This window comes from Homo sapiens, chromosome 7 (assembly GCF_000001405.40).
Source record: "Homo sapiens chromosome 7, GRCh38.p14 Primary Assembly".
Taxonomy (NCBI): domain Eukaryota; kingdom Metazoa; phylum Chordata; class Mammalia; order Primates; family Hominidae; genus Homo; species Homo sapiens.
This window is the reverse complement of record NC_000007.14, coordinates 92,808,515-92,827,925: the sequence shown is the minus strand read 5'-3', so window position 1 is coordinate 92,827,925 and position 19,411 is coordinate 92,808,515. Positions and strand designations below refer to the sequence as shown.

General features: G+C 35.5%; 1 protein-coding gene across 3 annotated transcripts in view, besides 5 other annotated features; it reads left to right on the top strand.

The window, feature by feature from the left end:
* The window catches only part of CDK6 (cyclin dependent kinase 6), a 231,653-nt gene that overhangs the window by 8,648 nt on the left and 203,594 nt on the right, over nt 1-19,411 (top strand). The window lies entirely within an intron of this gene.
* Nucleotides 17,345-18,544: an enhancer, noted in NCBI's record as "MED14-independent group 3 enhancer chr7:92438696-92439895 (GRCh37/hg19 assembly coordinates)". NCBI's record gives its function as "activates an origin of replication core promoter dependent on BRD2, BRD4, P300/CBP and CDK7 cofactors, and independent of MED14, by STARR-seq in HCT116 cells {active_cell/tissue: HCT116}" and the evidence as "EXISTENCE:reporter gene assay evidence [ECO:0000049][PMID:35650434]".
* Nucleotides 17,747-17,856: an enhancer, noted in NCBI's record as "active region_26275". NCBI's record gives its function as "activates an Ori minimal core promoter by ATAC-STARR-seq in GM12878 lymphoblastoid cells {active_cell/tissue: GM12878}" and the evidence as "EXISTENCE:reporter gene assay evidence [ECO:0000049][PMID:35858748]".
* Nucleotides 17,972-18,116: an enhancer, noted in NCBI's record as "145 bp enhancer 59/60 fragment used in the MPRA reporter construct; PK_construct_3404". NCBI's record gives its function as "activates an SV40 promoter by MPRA in HepG2 and K562 cells {active_cell/tissue: HepG2 | K562}" and the evidence as "EXISTENCE:reporter gene assay evidence [ECO:0000049][PMID:23512712]".
* Nucleotides 18,039-18,049: a transcriptional cis regulatory region, noted in NCBI's record as "NFE2L2 motif; enhancer activity is reduced when this motif is scrambled". NCBI's record gives its function as "necessary for full MPRA enhancer 59/60 activity {active_cell/tissue: HepG2 | K562}" and the evidence as "EXISTENCE:site-directed mutagenesis evidence [ECO:0005528][PMID:23512712]".
* Nucleotides 18,307-18,356: an enhancer, noted in NCBI's record as "active region_26274". NCBI's record gives its function as "activates an Ori minimal core promoter by ATAC-STARR-seq in GM12878 lymphoblastoid cells {active_cell/tissue: GM12878}" and the evidence as "EXISTENCE:reporter gene assay evidence [ECO:0000049][PMID:35858748]".

The following is a 19,411-nucleotide window of genomic DNA, read 5'->3' as shown; positions in this document are numbered from 1 at the left end:
AACCATCAGACACATAAGCAAATATGTGTTTTCCATGCCTTCTGAGGAACTAATCACACTATTGTTCTTTCTCATGAGGTTCAGATGAGTTGCTCTGTCTTCATAGGAAGTAAATTAATTGTGAGCTTCTTGATGTAACAGAACACAGCAGAGATGAAATCTGGGTGTCAGTGAATTGTTAACAGGAGAAGTTAGTGTGTATGATGTTGGGCTTTGTCCAAGATCCAGGAGGCAGCACTGAAAACGCACCGGTGGTTGATAACAAGCATACTTACATGAAGGTCACTATTTGAGTGATGATCCATAGATGCTAGGTTTGGTGGAGCAGGCAGGCCAGCAATCAGAGAGATTTTTCCAAGAGCTGCTGGGTAGTTTTCTTGAATATCACCAGTTTGCTGCCATACCTGATTTTTATTTTACCAGCTGCACATGTAGCTGCTCTTGCCTGAGAGGTGAACCGGAGGGACTGCAAGGCATGTGGCAGGAATCTATGCAAGTGTACAGTTGTAGTCTGGAAGTCCATTTGAGTCAGGATTATTATTAAACATTTTTGACCATCTCCTTTGTCTATAGTAGTTTGCCGAAATTTGGATATCTACTGGCTTTGTAATTTAAGTAGCCACTTAAATTATTCCTATTCTCTGGCCTTCCTAAAGGATTTAGTTCAGTAGAATTAGAATCACAGCATAAGGATTTTTTTAATTGGAAGAAGTCTTAGATTTAACCTAGTGCAACCCCCTTTGATCTGTTTTATAATAATAAAATTTGAGTTGTTTTATGAATGCAAAAAATTATCTCACTGTTAGTGAACAGTTTTATTCTGTGATTGTATGCATTGTAGATATAAACTGATTGAGGATGGCTAAGATTCAGACAGAGGTTTATATTAAACATTGGTAAGACAGGATGACTGATGGTCATTGGATATACCAGAAAAAAATCCCTTGAGATGTAAAAGTATTTTCAGTTTAGTGACTTTATGTTTGCTGACTTGAGAACCAGGATTGTGTATTTTATATCCATAAATAACATGGTGTCCATAACCATTGGTTAACCCGTATATGTTTCCTGATTGATTGAAATTTTAAACCCCTTAGATAAGCACTTTTCATCGTTTTAGAGTTGTATACTGCATTAGCAAGTATCTTGGACTATTGACATTGGGAGATCTGTGGGTATTAACTGTAAGGCATACACATGTGAAGTCTATTTAGTAAGAGTCTTCAAATACTTACTCATATTTAAACTTTTCCTGACTATGCATTTTTTATCTTCAATATTGTACTTGCTTTGGCTTTGACAGGATATTCTCATGTTCTTCCTCTGTATTTGTTAACATGTATCCTACAGACAGATGGACTACTCCATTTGCCCTAATGGATTTCTTGCCATCCACCTCTATTACTTTAATTTGAACAGATCTCTGAATGTGCACTTGGTACCTCTCCTGCACCACTCTCCACCTGTTGAAATTCTGCTTATCCTTCAGGGCCAACCTCAAATGTCACTTTCTTTGTTCTGTATTCCTTAATACCTCGATTTGGATAACATTTCTGCTTCCTTTGAGTCCTGGTAACTTTGGACCTCCTTTATGGCACTTAGCTTGTATCTGTCCCCTTATATTATTTCTGTTATGTAAGATGGAATGTTAACTCCCATGACAGCCCTCTTCTGACTCTCTACTCTTTCACACCCTATTTGTAAGCTCTTTAAGGCAGAGAGTGTCTTGTGATTACATTCGTTTATATCCTGTATCCATTGGATATAAGGTGAATACGTAACAAGTGAGTGAAATCATTGAAAAGGGGTCCAGTTATAAAGGAAGACACCATATGAATTATTTCTATCATGTGAAATAATGTTAATACTAAGGAGTGTCAAGGAGGGAGAACGGATCTGCATATTGGATTACACTTATTGGGATTCCTGGGAAATAATTTAGGAAATACTGAAAAAAGGAAGTTTCATTTTTGTCTTACTCCAATCTACATAGTTTATATGAAAGTTTAAGTATAATTCATTCTTATAGTTAACTGTGCAACTTTGGACTTAATTTATATACTGCAAAGAAGACATTAACATTAGGAAATGAGCATACATTCAGCAAAAGCTGAAAATGATTTGAACATTTCAAATGTAAGAAAGTAAGGTATTATAAATACATTTTGATCAATTGCTTGAGTTCTTTTATTTTTCCCATTAATTTTAATTTCTTTGGCTTTCAATAGTGGAAAACCTGTTAGCAGAATTAGGTAAAACCTTCCTAATAATTTCTATAAAAGATGATGATTCTGAATTTCATTTGAGCCTTGTCTTCTACTCCTCTTCATAATTTGTGTACAGAGAATTTGGATTCCATCTTGACAAACTGGTAGGTTTAATTAAGAAGTATACTTCCAGTTTGAATTCATTCCAGTTTCTTAAGACACATATGGTTGGGGTGTGTGTGTGTGTGTGTGTGTGTGCACGCATGTGCATGCAGAACAGTGGAGTACAAGATTCTTGAAAGAAGGGACTGTGTTGTCTTGTTCCTTGCAGTATCCCAAGCATTTAGCATGATGTCTGGTGTCTTGTAACCCTGAATAAGTATTTCTAAATGACAGAATATGCGCCATTTAGAAATTCAGAATTTAATTTTTTTTAGTTAGAAATGAGTAATCATGTCTGAAAATACAGGTGAGGTCTCTGGCATTCAGCAAGTATTTATGAGTATCTGTTATATTCAACGCTTTGTTAAATGGGATTAAGGCAGTAGTCACAAAAAGTGCATATTGAAATGTTTACCCAAAAAATGGTATGTGGTCTGCAATTTGTTTCACAATGGGGTAGAGATGCAATAAGAATGAACTATGAGTTGATCACTGTTGAAACTGTGGAGTTTTATTGTACTAGTCTCTCTGCATTTATATATGTTTGAAATTTTCCATAATAAGTTTTTCAAATGTTCCTGCTTGTGGGCTAGGAGTCAGAAAACTGATTCTTATCCTGATTCCTCTGCTTATTATTTAATAGTTGAGTAACCTAGGGTAAATTCCTCATGTCTCTTGGCTGCCATATCCCCACAATAAAAATAGAAATTACTACTGCTCTTTAGACCTTAGTGGTTTACTCTGATCAAATGAAATTATGTATACAAAGATCCAATATTATACAAATATAAGGTATTATTAACAAAATGAATTCCTGCTTTCAAGTAGTTTATAATTTCCTGGAAGAAACTGACATGTACACAGATATCTGTATTACTGATTGGTAGCACTTTCATTCCACCTCACGTTGTGAAAGTATGAATGGAGCTAGGTACTTCTGAAAAGATGTGTATTGAGTTTATAGTAATTAAAGTAAAAAATAATCTTTCATTTGGGTATTGGATATTGGTGTCGTGTTTACCCAGTGGTCTTTCCTGTTTATTAATGGGTTTATTGTGAGAGTATCTGTGGACCAAATGCTGCTGAGAACACATTGTCAAAACTGATGGGAGCTTGATGATTTCTTCTGTATTTGACTATTCAAATTAACCCAAAGAGGAGTTGGATTCTTTGCTTGTTCTTTCTTTCTTTTATTTTTTAATTTCAAAATCTCAAAGAGAATTATTCATTTTTGTCATACTTTGGAATTTCTGCTTGTTTATTTTCTGAGGCTGTTCCTATGGCGTGACTGACTTATGACATTTAAAATTTTGTTCTGTGTCCTCTGTTTAAATCGTTAAGAGTTCTATTCACAGCAATGAAGCAGTTCTTTTTTAGGGGCACTAATCTTTAGTGAATTTGCTTTTTTTTTTTCCTTTGCTTCCTTTTATTGCAAAGTAATCTCATAATTTCTGTGGTAGGTGTTCCTAATGATTAAAAAAAAACATTCATTTATCCTAAAATACTTTTATTTTTAGAAGGTTCAAAGTATAATGTTAGGAACATTAACTCTCACACCTTTCCAGCAGCAGAGCAAGAAAAACAAAAGAAGGCCAGGCACAGTGGCTCACACCTGTAATTCTAGCACTTTGGAAGGCTAGGATGGGAAGATTGCTTGAGCCTAGAAGTTAGAGACCAGACTGGGCAACATAGGGAGACCCTGTCTCTACAAATAATAAAAACTTTTTCTGAAAAAAGACATCTTTGCATTTCAAGGGTAGACTTTTAAACTTTAGTTTAAAAGTTTAGTTTACTCAGACCAGTACATTTTAAAACTTTTTAGAAGAACCCAAGAGACTGTCTGAGTCGTTTCAAGTTGGGAGTTTTAGCTGATATAGTATACATTTCAACCATGTAGAATCACTTTAAAAAGTTATTAAATAATCTTGGGTTAAAATGGGATATTTTCTTGTTGAACCTTGAGAAACCAAGAGACAGGTTTGGAGATTGGGGCTAGAAGGGACTCCCAGTGCTGATCATGAATGAAATACATTCAAATTATGTAAGTTCCCTTGACCTGGGAGAACATAGCTTCTTTGAAATGACTTTTTTTTTTTTTTTTTTTTTTTTTTTTACATATTAAGACTCAAAAGAAGAGTGGTAACATTCTGCTAATTCTTACAAATTATTTTAAGCCCATGAAACTTAATCAGTGGCTATTTAACTTCTAGCTGATTAGATGAGAACTGATGCCACTTGGTTCTCAGCTAAAGTTTTGTGAAGGGAAGAAGTCTGTTTCACAGACATTACTACTCAAGTATTGACTGACTCAAAGTGATGGAACTGATTTCAAGGAGAGCTGTATGAATGTGACTGACTCGGTGGTACCAATCCAATCCTAGAAAAACTAGACTTTTGAGATGAGTCAAGAGAAACATCTTTGTTTAGGAAAGATGGTATAGGTTTGGTTTTTTTTTTTTTCACTTTAGTTGATAAAAGTAAGAGGTGAATCCATCATTAGGCAAATAGAAAATGGTCTGGAGTTGTATTTATGTATCTGAAAGGACAACATGCTCATTAAAAGAAGGGAAGACGGTGGTAGAAGATAAGCTAAGTTAAGGTAGCAATGAGAGAGAAAATAGAAAAAACAGTAAGAGAACTTGGGATAGTGAGTAGATCTGAAGTTTCTTGATAAACTTCAAACTCTGAAACCTGGTGATCTGAAAGTAGATGAAAATTCTGCCATATTTAGAAAACCCTCAAACCAGTGCTTATGGAACGAGTAAACTCAGATTATCATTCTTACAATTCTGCAAAAATAAAATGGCATTGCTGTCTGCTTTTTCTTGGGCACCTTATTTTAATCATTTTTGCATTGCCCCGTGTGCCTAGCACTCAATTACCTGTTGAATAGTTGTATGAATTAATGTTGAATGTCAGCTTCCCATTAGAATATAGGCTCCCTGAGGGCAAAAATTTTTGTTTTGCTCACGCATTATCTCCAGCATCCAGAACAGTTCCTAGTAAATATCAATTGAGTAAATGACTGAGTGAATAAATAGTTAAGCCATGACTCAAGATTACTGTTTTCACAGCAACTTTATTGACAGTAAAAATGTAAATTAACACTACAATTTATTAGATATTTTATTTTTCTATTCACTCAGTATTGCATTTAAAACTCTTCAAAATTATGTAGTCTCTAATAGGTAGTAAATTGGATTCTGACCTGGGAATTAGGAGTTATTTAATAATGTAATGATTGGCAAGTAGATTGGACAATGAGATATACCCTTTCTAAGCTAATTCATCCACTACTGTTTTCATTAAATTACGAACATAATTTTATGCCAATAATATTGATATTTTAGTGATATTTTAAATCATCATATCAGTTTTTGCAGATTGAATTTACATGTTTTGATGGAAGTTTGTGAACATGGTTTAAGATTCTCTGGGCTGTGACTGCTCATTTTTGTTTTACTGTAAAATTAGTTATATTAAAATATGACTTCTAAAGAGTCATATTTTATATTTCCCTAAAGAGCCTTATATTAATGGCCATAGCTGTCCTTACAAGTAGGGATGTCCATGTAATATGTATGTCATATTAAAATATTGACATGCATTCCCCTAAAGAGCCTTGTATAAATGGCTATCACTGCCTTTATAAGCAGTGAAGCCCAAGTGGCCAGTCCCATTATGAACCTTGTCCCATTACTTCTGTTTGGGGCTACCATTCCAAGCACCTTCCTCCTCTGCTTAGAACAGCTGATTGTGATCACGTAATGGGTTGTGACATCACTGATAATACTAATATATTATTACATAGCAATAAACTAATTATATATATAACATAATTTATACAATATATATAGTAATGAAAGAATTAAGGAAAAGAAAGGGAAAGAAGGAATGAAGAGAGGGAGTGAGTAATAGAATAGAAAAGAAAAAAAATTGTGGTGTTCCCAGTCAGTTGTCAGATATGTTTCAAGGAAGTTGTTAATAAAGTAGAGTACCAAAGTTTGCAGGTGAGGAGAGTTATTTGCAGTTTTTTGTTTAAAATAATTACATTTTTCTATTAAAGCAATTTTTCTGGTTAATATTGCTTGTAGTAAATTACTCCAACATGTAGGGGCTTAAAACAACCATTATCTTATATTCATGAATTTAGCAGGTGGGGAATTCAGACAGAGCACAGTGAGAATGGCATATCTCTGTTCCAAGATGTCTGGGACATTAGCTGGAAATTACTCAAAAACTGGTAGTTTGATTATTCTAGGCGTCTTCACTTTCAAGCCTGGTGGTTCATGCAAGTTGGTTGGCGAAGGCTGGGATCTGAACTCAGGTTTTTGAGCAGAGCACCTACACTGACCTACACCAGGTGGCCTGGGCTTCCCTTTCAGCATCAAAGCTTCAGAATAGTTGAATGTACATGTTGGCTCATGGCTTTAAAAGTTGGTGTCCCTGAGAACAAGCAGTGTTAATTATGCCACGTTTTGTTGTTTATATTTGAGTTCAAAGCCCCAGAGATTCAAGAGGTAGAGACATACACCACCTCTTAATGGAAGGAATGTTAAAGAATTTCCACCCCCCCACCCCCAGCTTTTTTGTAATCATGACATTAATACTAATACTAAATAGTATGAAAGGGCTTATGATAAAAAGGCAAAGCTCCTGCCCCAGTTCTCAGATACAGCTATTCCTATTCCCAGTACTCAGATACAGCTTCTTTTCACTGTCTGTTTTTGGTGCTTCTGTTTATGGTCTCCATAAATTTAGATAATATGCTGTTGCTCTAGTTCTTGATATTTAAACTTCAGTAATATCTATTGACTTTCTACTCTGAAAAATGAGGACTTACCTTGTTAATATTACTGTGTATTTCCTTCGCTTTCTGTGAGATAGGGATATTTTTATTTCATATAATAATTTTAAATAATATCCCTAAACTTCAATTTTTCATACTTTCACTTTGGGCAGTATCTCTTGATTCTCCATTTAGTAAGAGGAGAATATTTTATCCCCGTAACCTTTCTTCCACTTATGTTCTCCCTTTAACATCACAATTTCTATCAGCTACTTTGCTAAAATTGTTTATTTGCATTCTGTTCCGTACTGCAACAGAGGCTTCCCTGCTTTTCTAAAGGTTGACCCTTGCAAGTTGAACACTGGTAAACAGTGCTTACATTCTTCTGACTATATAGAGAGAGTTCAGTGCTAGGCCAAATATTCAGCCCTTATGTTTCCTTCTCTCCAGGTTCAACATTATAACCCTATGAAGCTGATGGAGTCCTTCTTTTGTAAAAACAGACATCTGGATTCTCTTTCCTTATTCTGCATCACTTGTTTAAAATATGCCCTATTTTCGTGTACTTTTTATTCAGGCCATGACTTTCTTGTATCATTTTGTTTTTCCTGGAGTTTCTAATTGCCTTTTTATTTTTTCTTGCCATGTTTGCCTTTATCACAATCTGTGTTCTCCAGAAATACTATGTGTCTACATATGGTGGGTTTCCCGCCACCATTTAATTTGCTGGGCATTCTGTGGAATCTTTCTAAGTGCAGATTTGCTTCGTTTTATTTTTTTTAATGGCTGCTTCTTCATCATTTGTTCTATTCTCTTTACAAGGTTCTTCTGTTAGTCAGATATTTGATCTTGCAGTTGGGATCTCTGTGTCTCTTCTTTTAATCTTTTTTCTAATTCATCTCTTTTCTCTGGTTTTTGCTTTGTATTCTAAAGAAACTTCTATATTATTTTCCAAATGTCTACTGAATTTACTCTCAGTAATTAATATTTTTAACTTCAAAACATCATTTTTTGTTCTCCACTTGTTGGTTTTTAAAGCATCCTCCTCTGGTTTTCTGTAATATTTCTTTGAATTACTGTGAATTTTTTTAAAGTCCTCCACATTATCTCTGTTTCTGTCAGTGTTTAGTTTTTTTGGTTAACTTTTTTGTTTTTCCTGTGGCTGAATTTTTTAAATGCCTGGTGATCTTTGAATATCCTTTGGCTTTTTTAAAGTCAAAACGAGCTAAAGGTATAATTTTTATACAGTAAAATACACCCATTTTAAGTGTGTGCTTTTTATGAGTTTCGACAAATTTATTCACCTACTAACCACCACCACAATCAATATCTAAAATACTCGCATTATCCCACAGGGCCCTTTGCAGTGAATCTCCTCCCTCTACCAGGACCCCTGCCAACCTAATCTTCTTTCTGTCATTATAGATTTGTCCTTTCTAGAGTTTCATATACACAGTATCAAAGAGTATTATGTTCTATTATATCTGGCTTTCATTGATAGTGTTTTTGAGATTCATTTATGTTGTTGACTGTTTGAGTAGTTCATTTTCCATTATATGGATTTACCACAATTTGTTTATTCATTCACCTGCTGATGATCATTTCTGTTGTTTCCAGTTTAGGGCTGTTATAAATAAGGCTGTTGTGAATATTTGTGTACAGGTCTTTGTATTGATATGACATATGCTTCATTTGTATGGTAAATACCTACAGGTAGATTGCTGACTGGTATGGCAATTGTGTATTTAATTTTTAAGAAATTGTCAAACTTCTCCAAACTGGTTGTTCCATTTCCAGTGCTAGTGTATAAAGGTTCCATTTGATTTGCACCCTCCTGAACACTTGGGACTGTCAATCTTTTTATTTTTAGTCATTCTATAGTGAGTGTGAACTAATAACACATTGTGATTTTAATTTGCATTTACTTGATGACTAATGTTGTTGAATATCTTTTCATTTGGCTATTGACCATTCTGATACCTTCTGTTGGGAAGTTTCTGTTCAAATTGACCGTTTTTTAAAATTGAGTTATCTTATTGTATTGTAAGAGTTCTTGAGCAGTCTTTTGTCAGCTACATGGATTACAAATATTTTCTTCAGGTCTTTGGCTTACCTTTTCATTTCCTTAATGCTTTATGTCAAACAGAATATTTTAATTTAACCTAAGTCCAATTCATCTTTTTTTTTCTTTGATAGCTTATGCTTTTTTGTATCCTATCTAATAAATATTTGTTTACCTCCAGGGCATATAGGATTTTTCCTATGTTTTCTTCTAGAATTTTATAGTTTTTGCTTTTATTTTAGATTTGTGATGCATTCAAGTCAAGTCTTTGTGTTTGGCTTGAGCTAAGAGTTCAGGTTCATTTTTCCTGTATGGATATCCAGCTATTTCCGCACCATTTATTGAAAATACTTTGCTTTCTTCATTTTGAATTACCTTGGCAGCTTTGCTAAACATTAGTTGAGCATATACATTTGGGCCTGTTTTTAGACTCTTTGTTCTTTTGCATTGATCTATATATCTATCCTTTTGCCAATGTCATACTTTGATTACTATAATGTATAGGTCTTAATCAGGTAGTATACATTTTCCAGCTTTGTTCTTGTTTTTCAAAATTGTTGTTGCTCTTCTTTTGTATTTTCATATAAATTTTAGAGTCAGCTTGTTAGTTAACACAAAAATTCTCCTATTGGGATAGCATTTAATCTCTATTAATTAGGGCGAAGGCATAGATATTGACACTGACTTCTGATCACGAACATGGTGTATCTCTTCATTTATTTAGGTCTTTAATTTCTCTCATCAGAGTTTTGTAGCTTTTAGTGTAATGCCCTTGCTTGCATTTTATTAAATTTATCTCTTTGCATTTAATGTTTTTGGATGTTATTGTAAAAGGCATTGTTTTTTCTTTTTAAGTGTTTGTCATTGAGAGCTATAGTCTTTTTTGTATAGTGACCTTGTGTCTTGTGATCTGAAAAACTCCCTTATTAGTCTGGTAGCTTCTTTGTAAATTTTAGTTTTTTTACATACACAGACACATCATCTGAGAATAGACAGTTGTACTTTCCCCCCTATATATATATATGTCTTTTATTTCTTTTCCTTTCTTTTTTTGCCCTGGCTAGAACCTCTAGAAAAATGTCAAATAAAAGTGGTGAGAGCAGATGTTTTTGGCTTGTTCCCAATAATAAGGAGAAAACTATTCAGACTTTTGCCCTAAAGTATGATGTTAGCTGTAAGTTTTCCTAGGTGTCCTTTATCAGATTGATGAAGTTCCCTTATATTCCTAGTTTGCTTAGAGAGTTTTTCATGATTGGGTACTGAATTTTGTCAGTGTTTTTTCTGAAGAATTGAATTGATTATTTTTTTAAAAACTCTGTTATTGTGCTGTGAATTATACTGATTGAATTTTGAAAGTTAAACCAAGCTCACATTCCTGGGATAAACCCTACTTGGTCATGATGTAGCCTTTTTATATATTGCTAAAATTTTGTTAAGAATATTCATGAATGATATTGGCCTATAATTTTTTTTATAATAACTCTGATTTTTGTTCTGAGGTAATGCTGGCTTCATAAAACGAGTTGAGAAGTGTTTCTTCCTCTTCTATTTTCTGAAAGATTTTGTGTAGGATTGGCATTCTTTCTTTCTTAAACATTTAACAGAATTTACTAATGAAGTCATCTGGGCCTAGCATTTATTTTTGAGTAGGTTATTAACTACAAATTATATTTTCTTAATAGATATGAGACCTTATAGGTTAGATCACCTTTTATAATTTTGTATTTTTCAAGGGATTTGTCTATCCTAGGGTTTTTTTGGGGGGGTGGTAGTTTATTGGTATAGATTCTTTAACTCCTTATCTTTTTTAATGTCTGTAGAATATGTAGTGATGTCCACTCTTTTATTCCTGATATTGGTAATTTGCATTTTCCTCTTTTTATCTTGACATACAGATAGAGTTTTGTCAGTTTTATTGATGATAATCCAGTTTTTTGTTTCATTAATTTTCACTTCTGTTTGTCTGTGGTCTCTTGATACTTATTTTGTTTTTATCTTCTTTTCCTACTTACATTGGGTTTAATTTGTTCTTAGTTTTAGCTTCTTAAAATAGAAGCTTGGATCTTCAAATATATGCATCTTCCCACAAATTTGAATATGTTGTGGCTTAATTTTCATTCAATTTGGGTTATTTTAAGCCATTTTTAGTTATATATTCTTTAATCCATGGATTCTTAAATTTCCAAACATGTAAGGGATTTTTCTAATTTCTTTCTGTCTAATTCTGTTGTGATCAGAGAACAATTCTGTATGATTCTAATACTTTTTAAAGATAGTAACACTTGCTTTGGTCCAACATATAGCTTATCTTGGTACTTGTTCCATTTGATTTTTTATTTATATATTTCCAATTTTCTCCTCACTGTGTCCATGTTTTCCTTTAAGGCCTTGGGCATTTTTGTAGTGTTTATAATAGTTTATTTAATTTCTTTGTCTGCTATTCCATAAGTTCTGTCATTTCTGAGTCTATTTCTATTGACTGATTTTTCTCCTGCTTATGGGTCATGTTCTGTATGGCTGCATGTCTAATAATGTGTTATTGGATGCCAAACATTGTGACTATGACATTGTCAACTGCTGGATTTTGTTCTACTCCTTTAAAGAGAATTGGATTTTGTTCTGGCAGGCAGTAAAGTTATGTGTGGTTCAGTTTTATACTTCCAAGGCTTATTTTTAGTTTGTCTCTTTTGTTGTTGGGGAGAGGATCTAGTGTATGTAGGCTTTGCTTCCAGGCTAGTTTAGCCCTACTAAGACATTACTCTTTTGTAGTCTCTCTTCTTTGGCTGGTAAGGAGTTTGAAACATTTTCTGCCCTCTGTGAGCTCTGGAATCATTCATCTTACAACTCCTTGGTGATCTTTTCTCAGAAGCTGACCTTTCTTGACTTCATGCAGTTCCACATGTGTAGCTTAATATTCAGCCAGGGACTCAATAGACCCCATGTAGATTTCTGGAGCTCTTCTTCAGTATTGTGTCTTCCAAATTTTAGCCACTTTGGCCTCCTTGTCTTCTCAACTCTGATCTCTGCCTACCCAGCTGGGCAAGACTACAGAATTTACAGAACTCTGAGGTTCCTCCTTCCTGTACCTGTGGTCTGGAAATTGCCTCCAAACAGAAAGCTAGGGCAATCTAGGGCTCACCTCATTTGCTTCCCCTCTCTCAGGGATCACAGTCCTCTACTACCTATAGTCCAATATCTGAAAGCAGTTGTTTCATATGTTTATCTAGTTTCTAGTTGTTTCTGGCAGGTAAGAAGTCTGGACCTTCTTGCTCCCTTACTGCCTTGTATGTCCATTAGTTTTTATAAAGACTGGTTAGCTAGTAAGACTATTAAATAGGATCTTTTCCTCCCTGCTGGCTCTCATTTCTGAGTAAAATTTTTGGGAGACTTGTTTGGCATAGGAATCTTGGGATGGGAGTATGCTTCACAGGCTTTACTTTTGGGTGGCTGGAAAAATGGCTGTCAGGATGTGGAAAAACTCTCAAATGTCACAATAAGAAATGGTTTACTCCAAGATCTTAGGTACAGGGATGGCAATAGGAATGCTAACTGGTGCAGTTACCCTATATACAGACATTTAGTTGACTCCCCTGAATGTGGGAAGAAAATGGCTGCCCTTCTTCCTCCCTTTTTCCATTGCACCTGTTGACTCGTAGTCCAGCTTCTGCTTCCTCCACGGTGCCCTCATGGCTTGTTCTAGGGCAGTGGCCTCCCTTCTAGTAAAAATATTTGAGCATGTCACTGATATTCACTGAATTATAAAAATTATGTACATATACAGATATATTATTATATATTTAATAAAAATAATGATTTTGAAATGAAGGGGTACAAAATACCTAAAAATAGAAGATATTTTCTTAATACATCTCCTGATTATATGTTCTTCACTTTGGAGACTACTATCTCTTTGGTGACTTCTTCCATCACCTTATTTCTGTTTATTTTCAGTCACCCAGCAAATTTACTAAATTCTCTCCTTTTTGTGTATGTGGGACGCCCTTTTGTAATTATGGGTTTATTTCTTTTACTGAGAAAGAATGGAGGCAAATATTTGTGATAGGTCCACCATTTTGAACTGGAAGTCTGATTACACTTCTTAAAATAAATTTTTGAATAATCAAAATGTCTTTTTTTTTTTTTTTTTTTTGCAATTCAGTTTGCTTTCCTGGTTGGGAGCAGAAGGGCTGCAGCCCAAGAATTGCTTATTACCTGCGGGAAGTTTTTGTTATGCAGCAGTTCTTAAATTTGGGTAATGTCAAAGGGCATGTGAACCAAGGAAGTTGTCTGCTAATTTCACCAGAAGCAAAAAAGTTTAAGAACAGCTGCTCTGGAGAAATATTGGGATCACATGAGATATACTTTTCCCCTATTTATTCCACATTCCTTAATTTAGAGGACAGTATAACCATCTGGAGAGGATCCATAATTGAAGAAAGAACATTGTTTCATTCTTCTGTTGCTGATTGCACCTGGCTATATAAATTCATTGTCATCTTCTAGGTTTTCATACTGTTGATATACCATCCCTGAAACCAACAGCTGATATAAATTGTAACATAGAAAAGCTAATTTGACATCATATTGGGAATGTTAGCCAATTGATTTTTCTTAAGGGAAACAAACTGAAAAAATAAGCCCACTATGAATTAATTCTTTGCAGGAAATTCCCATGTCTGATTATTTAAAAGAATAAATTCTGCATGCAAATGAATCATTACAAGCTTAATTGAAGCTTGCGGGATACTCAAGTTTACTCACTGTGGTGTGTTTTTGATGGAGACAGGAAGTGAAAAAGCAAGGTCTATGAGACTTTTTTTTCCTATGAAGTCTCAGCCAGTCTTTTAATGTTTCTCATTGAGAAACTTTGGTTGGGAGGGTAAATGACTCAAGGTATCTATTGCTGCTTAGCCGTTTTTAAGGGGGCATTTCCCCCCATGTTCCTCCCCTCCCCAAAATAGCTAATTATGTACTGGAAGTTTCAATACATTGTTCACAGTTTGTGAAGTCAGCATATTTCTGGAAGCTCACTGTGAATGTAATTCTTAACTGTACAAATGCTTTTGTTTCTCCATCTCTGCAGCTAGCTCTGTACTGTAAGGACACAATTCTATCGCTATTTTTTCCCTCACATTTGATGTGGTAGTTTGCATACAGCTGCAGAGTAGACAGTTACCTTTGAAAGGAACATTTGGCTGCTCTAATTTGATTAAAGAAAACCACCTCAATCATTTCTAGACTGAGAACGTTTTCATTTTAACTTGGCAGTAGGAGTTGGGAATGTACTCATTGCACTTAGATATGTGGGGGACCAGTTAGGGAACAAAACCAACTGCTTGAATGAAGAAAGCTTTGGTGCATTTTTTTTTTAAAAGCAAGCAGTATGATTCCCTTTCTGTTTCCCTCTCAAATTCTCTACAACCTTGATTTTCACCTCCATCTTCTTTTCACGGTTATTTACTTTGTAATTCCAGTAAACGAATTCTGGCAGGAATAGACTGCTACCCTAAAGTGATTTGTGATTTAAAGGACTTCAGGGTCCTTAAAAATTATCCCATTTTACATAGAAATAAAATCCCAAATCATGAATTACTATGAATTGCATATATTTTCTTGGCCACTGTTGAGAAAGGCAAAAAAAGTTGTTAGATCATGGGTGTACAGACCAAGGCTGGGAATTTAGTTGTAACTTACTTAGAAGAAAATTGCTCCTTGTCAGAAGGCTGCAGTCAACTCACATATATGCCCTTTGTTTCTGACATAGAAGAGGGTCTGATCACCAAATTAGTATGACAATTAAAAATAAATTCTGGTGATTGTGAATTGGCATCAACTTTATATATGTTTTTAGAAATGATTGAGCAGTGGTTAATGTCTGTACGGTAAACCATGAACAAACTTTTGAACCACAGCTCAGTAATTCAATATATGATATCCTTGTGAAAGGTACTGTGCTGTCATCTTAAAAAGTTTGAGTGTGGGCCAGGCACAGTGGCTCATGTGTGTAATCCCAGCACCTTGGGAGGCTGAGGTGGGAGGATTGCTTGAGGCCAGGAATTTGAGACCAGCCTGGGCAACGTAGTGAGACCTCATTTCTACAAAAAATATTTCCTAAAATTTAGCCAGGTATAGTGGCACTCACCTCTGGTCCCGGCTACTCTGGAGGCTGAGGTGGGAAGATCAAGGCTTGAGCCTAGGAGTTTGAGGCTGCAGTGAGCCATGATCACACCACTTGACCCCAACCTGGGAGACAGAGCAAGACCCTGTCTCAAAAAAAAAAAAAATTGAATGAGAAAATTTAAATTAAAAGTCTGAAGCTACACATGGGCCTCAGAAATAACAAACACTATTACTTATTGATTATTGGATATTATTGATTACCTAAGAGAGGAGGTCAAATGTGGGTTCACATTCCAGTTCTGCCACATGACTATGTGTCTTAACCCCATTATGCTTCCTACCTCTAAGCTTCAATGTCTTCATTTGTAAAATTAGGACACATATTAAGTGATGTCTCTGAAGTTAGGTACCTTTTAAGTGTTTTGTTTTGTTTTGTTTTGTTTTTTTGAGTTGGAGTCTCACTCTGTTGCTCAGGCCAGAGTGCAATGGCACCATCTTGGCTGATTGCAATCTCCACCTCCCAAGTTCAAGCGATTCTCCTGCCTCAGCCTCCTGAGTAGCTGGGATTACAGGCACATAGCTAATTTTTGTATTTTTAGTAGAGACAGGGTTTCACAGTGTTGGTCAGGCTGATCTCGAACTCCTGACCTCATGATCCTCCAGCCTTAGCCTCCCAAAGTGCTGGGATTACAGACATGAGCTGCTGCGCCTCGCCCTTTTAAGTGTTTGATACTTGTCAAGTACTTAGTTGCCTTACTTATTCCTCTCCTTCAGAATATTTTGTAGGGGGGTGGTTTTGTTAATAGGATTGGTGGCAGAACTTGACAAAATCTTCAAATTCTAATATTATGTGCATCTCTCATTCTCTTGGACAAAATGATTAAGTCCATTAGGAATCTCTCAAGTCTGCCTACTTTTTCTCTGGTTAAGTGTGACATTATATCAGGTAGTAGTTGCAAGGGCAAGGCATAGGTACTACGGACATAGGAGCTGTTCAACAAATGGTTGCTATTAGATGGAGTTACACTGTCATCTTGAATGCCACCTTCTGCCATCTTCAAGTGCTATAATTATTTCCACATTTAATCTCAAGACTGTTCACTCGAAGCCACCCCAGTTTGTTCTTCCTTCTGAGAGTCAAAGGCCAAGAAAGAATCTTTTCATTTTGTTTTTACACACGGTAAGGAGGGCGTAAATATTTTCAGCCACGTGTCTCAGTGTACAAGGATGGTGAAGGGACTAAAACGATGTTTGCCTAAAGTACCCTGCTACATTGGGGTTTGAGCACTCAGGATTTCTAGTAGATACAACATTATAACTGTAGTTGAATCCCAGGCTCGTTCACAATGCTTATTTATATAGCTGAAGAATGTCCAATGAGTAAAATACTGCAGAAAGCAATGCTGGAGACCTGTGGAAATTCTATGAGAAAATGCTGGGTACTGATTATTTATGTTACTTCAAATTTTCTTTCTCTCAATAAAGTATTATTTTGATATTTCTCCTATATAATTGCCTTTTTTTTTCTTTGGCGCTGGGGGGGTTCTCATTCTGTCACCGGGCGCGATCTCGGCTCACTGCAACCTCCGCCTCCTGGGTTCAAGCAATTCTCCTGCCTCACCCTCCTGAGTAGCTGGGACTACAGGCACGCACCACCATGCCCAGCTAATTGTTGTATTTTTAGATGGGGTTTCGCCATGTTGGCTAGGATGGTCTCAATCTCTTGACCTCGTGATCCGCCCACCTCAGCCTCCCAAAGTGCTGGGATTACAGGCGTGAGCCACTGCACCCGGCCTATAATTGCTTTTTTTGAAGTATATTTATATAGCCCTTTACTATTGAATTCTGCCCATCTACTTACTATTACTGTTTATCTTCTTATGTCACTTCCAACCTGGGTGACAACTTAAACATTCAAATCCAGTAAAATTATTGTATGTTTCTAATAAAATGCATAGAAGCTAGCCTGAGACTGAAGTTTTGTTTTTTAAAAAATATGTAATGAATTCATCACTTCTTTTCGTCATGACAGTTGTCTACTTCTTAAGTGCTGTTAATATAATTACGTTCACAGCAGCAGTGAGGGAGACTGGGGGAGGATTGTTATTCCCGTCTTGCAGATAAAGAAACAGACAACGTAAATGACTTGCTCAAGGTCAACTGTCTGCTGGCAGAGTCAGGACTAGACCACAAGCCTTTTGACTCCAGGGTGTTATTTCCCCTATTATATAGTTTTTCTACCTAATACTACAAGTGTTTCAGTCATGCAAAGGTCATTTGGATTTGACTGTTTTAGTAAGACCTGCTTGGCAAATTAAATGCACATAAACTGCATGCTGACAAAGGCATGCTGTTTATTTGAAGAGGAAGCTATCTTGACTTACTGGAAACTAGAGGTATAATGGCTTAATTCTGACAGATAGTAAATGATATACATATACACACACATACACACGCATATATATTTTCAAACAATCTATTTTCATAGCCATATCTAGAGACCAGCATATAGAATTGACAGTGTTAAGTAGTGTTATTTGTTAGGGTTCATGCTGCTTCTCAACTTGGTGGCAGTTAGCTTTCCATGACCTACCCTGCGTTACTGAGAAAAGGATGGAAGAGTAGCAGGTCAAAGGAAGTACGCATACCTTTGAATCTGGCACCAGAAGTGCTGACGAGGATGTTGCATATGCTCACGATGACTCAGCACTTCCTGGTTTCTCTTTTCAGCCACACTCTGGCTAATGATATCGAATGACCTTGGTTCAAACTGAGAGTTTCAGGGAACCTTTGGTTTCTTCATCATCAAAAATTTGCAGTCTTTCCTTTCTGTTTTTAATTAGTTAATGGTACTAGGTATGAACCATTATATTTCACACTGGATTAGATACTTTTTGTTCTTAAGATGGTCACAATCTAAGGAAGTAGCTTTGACCCTGGACTATAAATAAATATACCCTTACCTCTCAAGTAAGAGCAGTCCTGCTATAACTCATTTGGTCTTTTATTGTTTCTGTGCAACCTAATAAGTAGGGCAGGAGTGGAAGGAAATGGAGTTCAAACTTCAGTTGCACTGTTTGCAGCTTTGGTTTTAGGAAAGGCTTAGTGACCAGTAAGGCCAAGTAAGGGAAGGTAATTGTGGATCTGCCCCTTGGGTCCCTCATCACTTTCTGAATGGTCCAGAATAGGTCTACCATGAGTGAAACCAGATTGTCGTTGTCAATTAGTTTTATATTTAGGATCAGCCACAATTTTTAGACTCTAAAATTATTAACATTGAGCACATTTGGAGATGAAAATTTTCAGAAAACATTGAAAGTTCCAGGAAACCTTGAAACTTTTTAAGCCTGAGTTTTCCTGGGCTATTGAGAGTTTCTCCATGTTGACAGCCAATTTGTTTTACAATTTATGAAACAATTTAAAAACCATTTTATAGATTATCTAGATATATTTCTTTAGAAATATATCTTCATTATTAAAGGAAATCTTAAACCAGTGGTTTGCAGTGAAGGAAATAGCTATAGTATAGCAAAAATATGCCTATATTTAAAATACAAATATTTATTGTTAAATGTGTTTATGTGTTTTCATCTTTACAGAGGCCTCTAAATAGCCAGGATTTCTGGCCCTTTAACTGCTTCCAAATAAGCAAAAGTAAAAATTCCTACAGAAAACATAGCCCTGACCTTTTTGCACATGTAATCCAAACAAAAAGTTAGCTTTGAAATGGAGTCTTGTTACATAATCATACTGAAAATATGCAGTAATATGTATTCCTTTGAATATCTTTCATTCAGAAACATATTTTTGTTTATTTGACTATCCTCCCAGCTGAAAATGGGTTATGTTCTGGTTGTTCATCTAACCACCCTACCTCAAAATACTTGAGAAATCACATGAAGAATTTCATTCCAAAGCATACAATTTTCAGAAGGGCTCAGGACATTGGAAAATTGCACATTGGATTTAACTCCATTGATGATTTAAATAAATAGCAAATAATGCAAGAAGATAGATAAACAGAATATACAAACACAGTTTTTACTAGGCAGAATACCTGTCCAATTAATA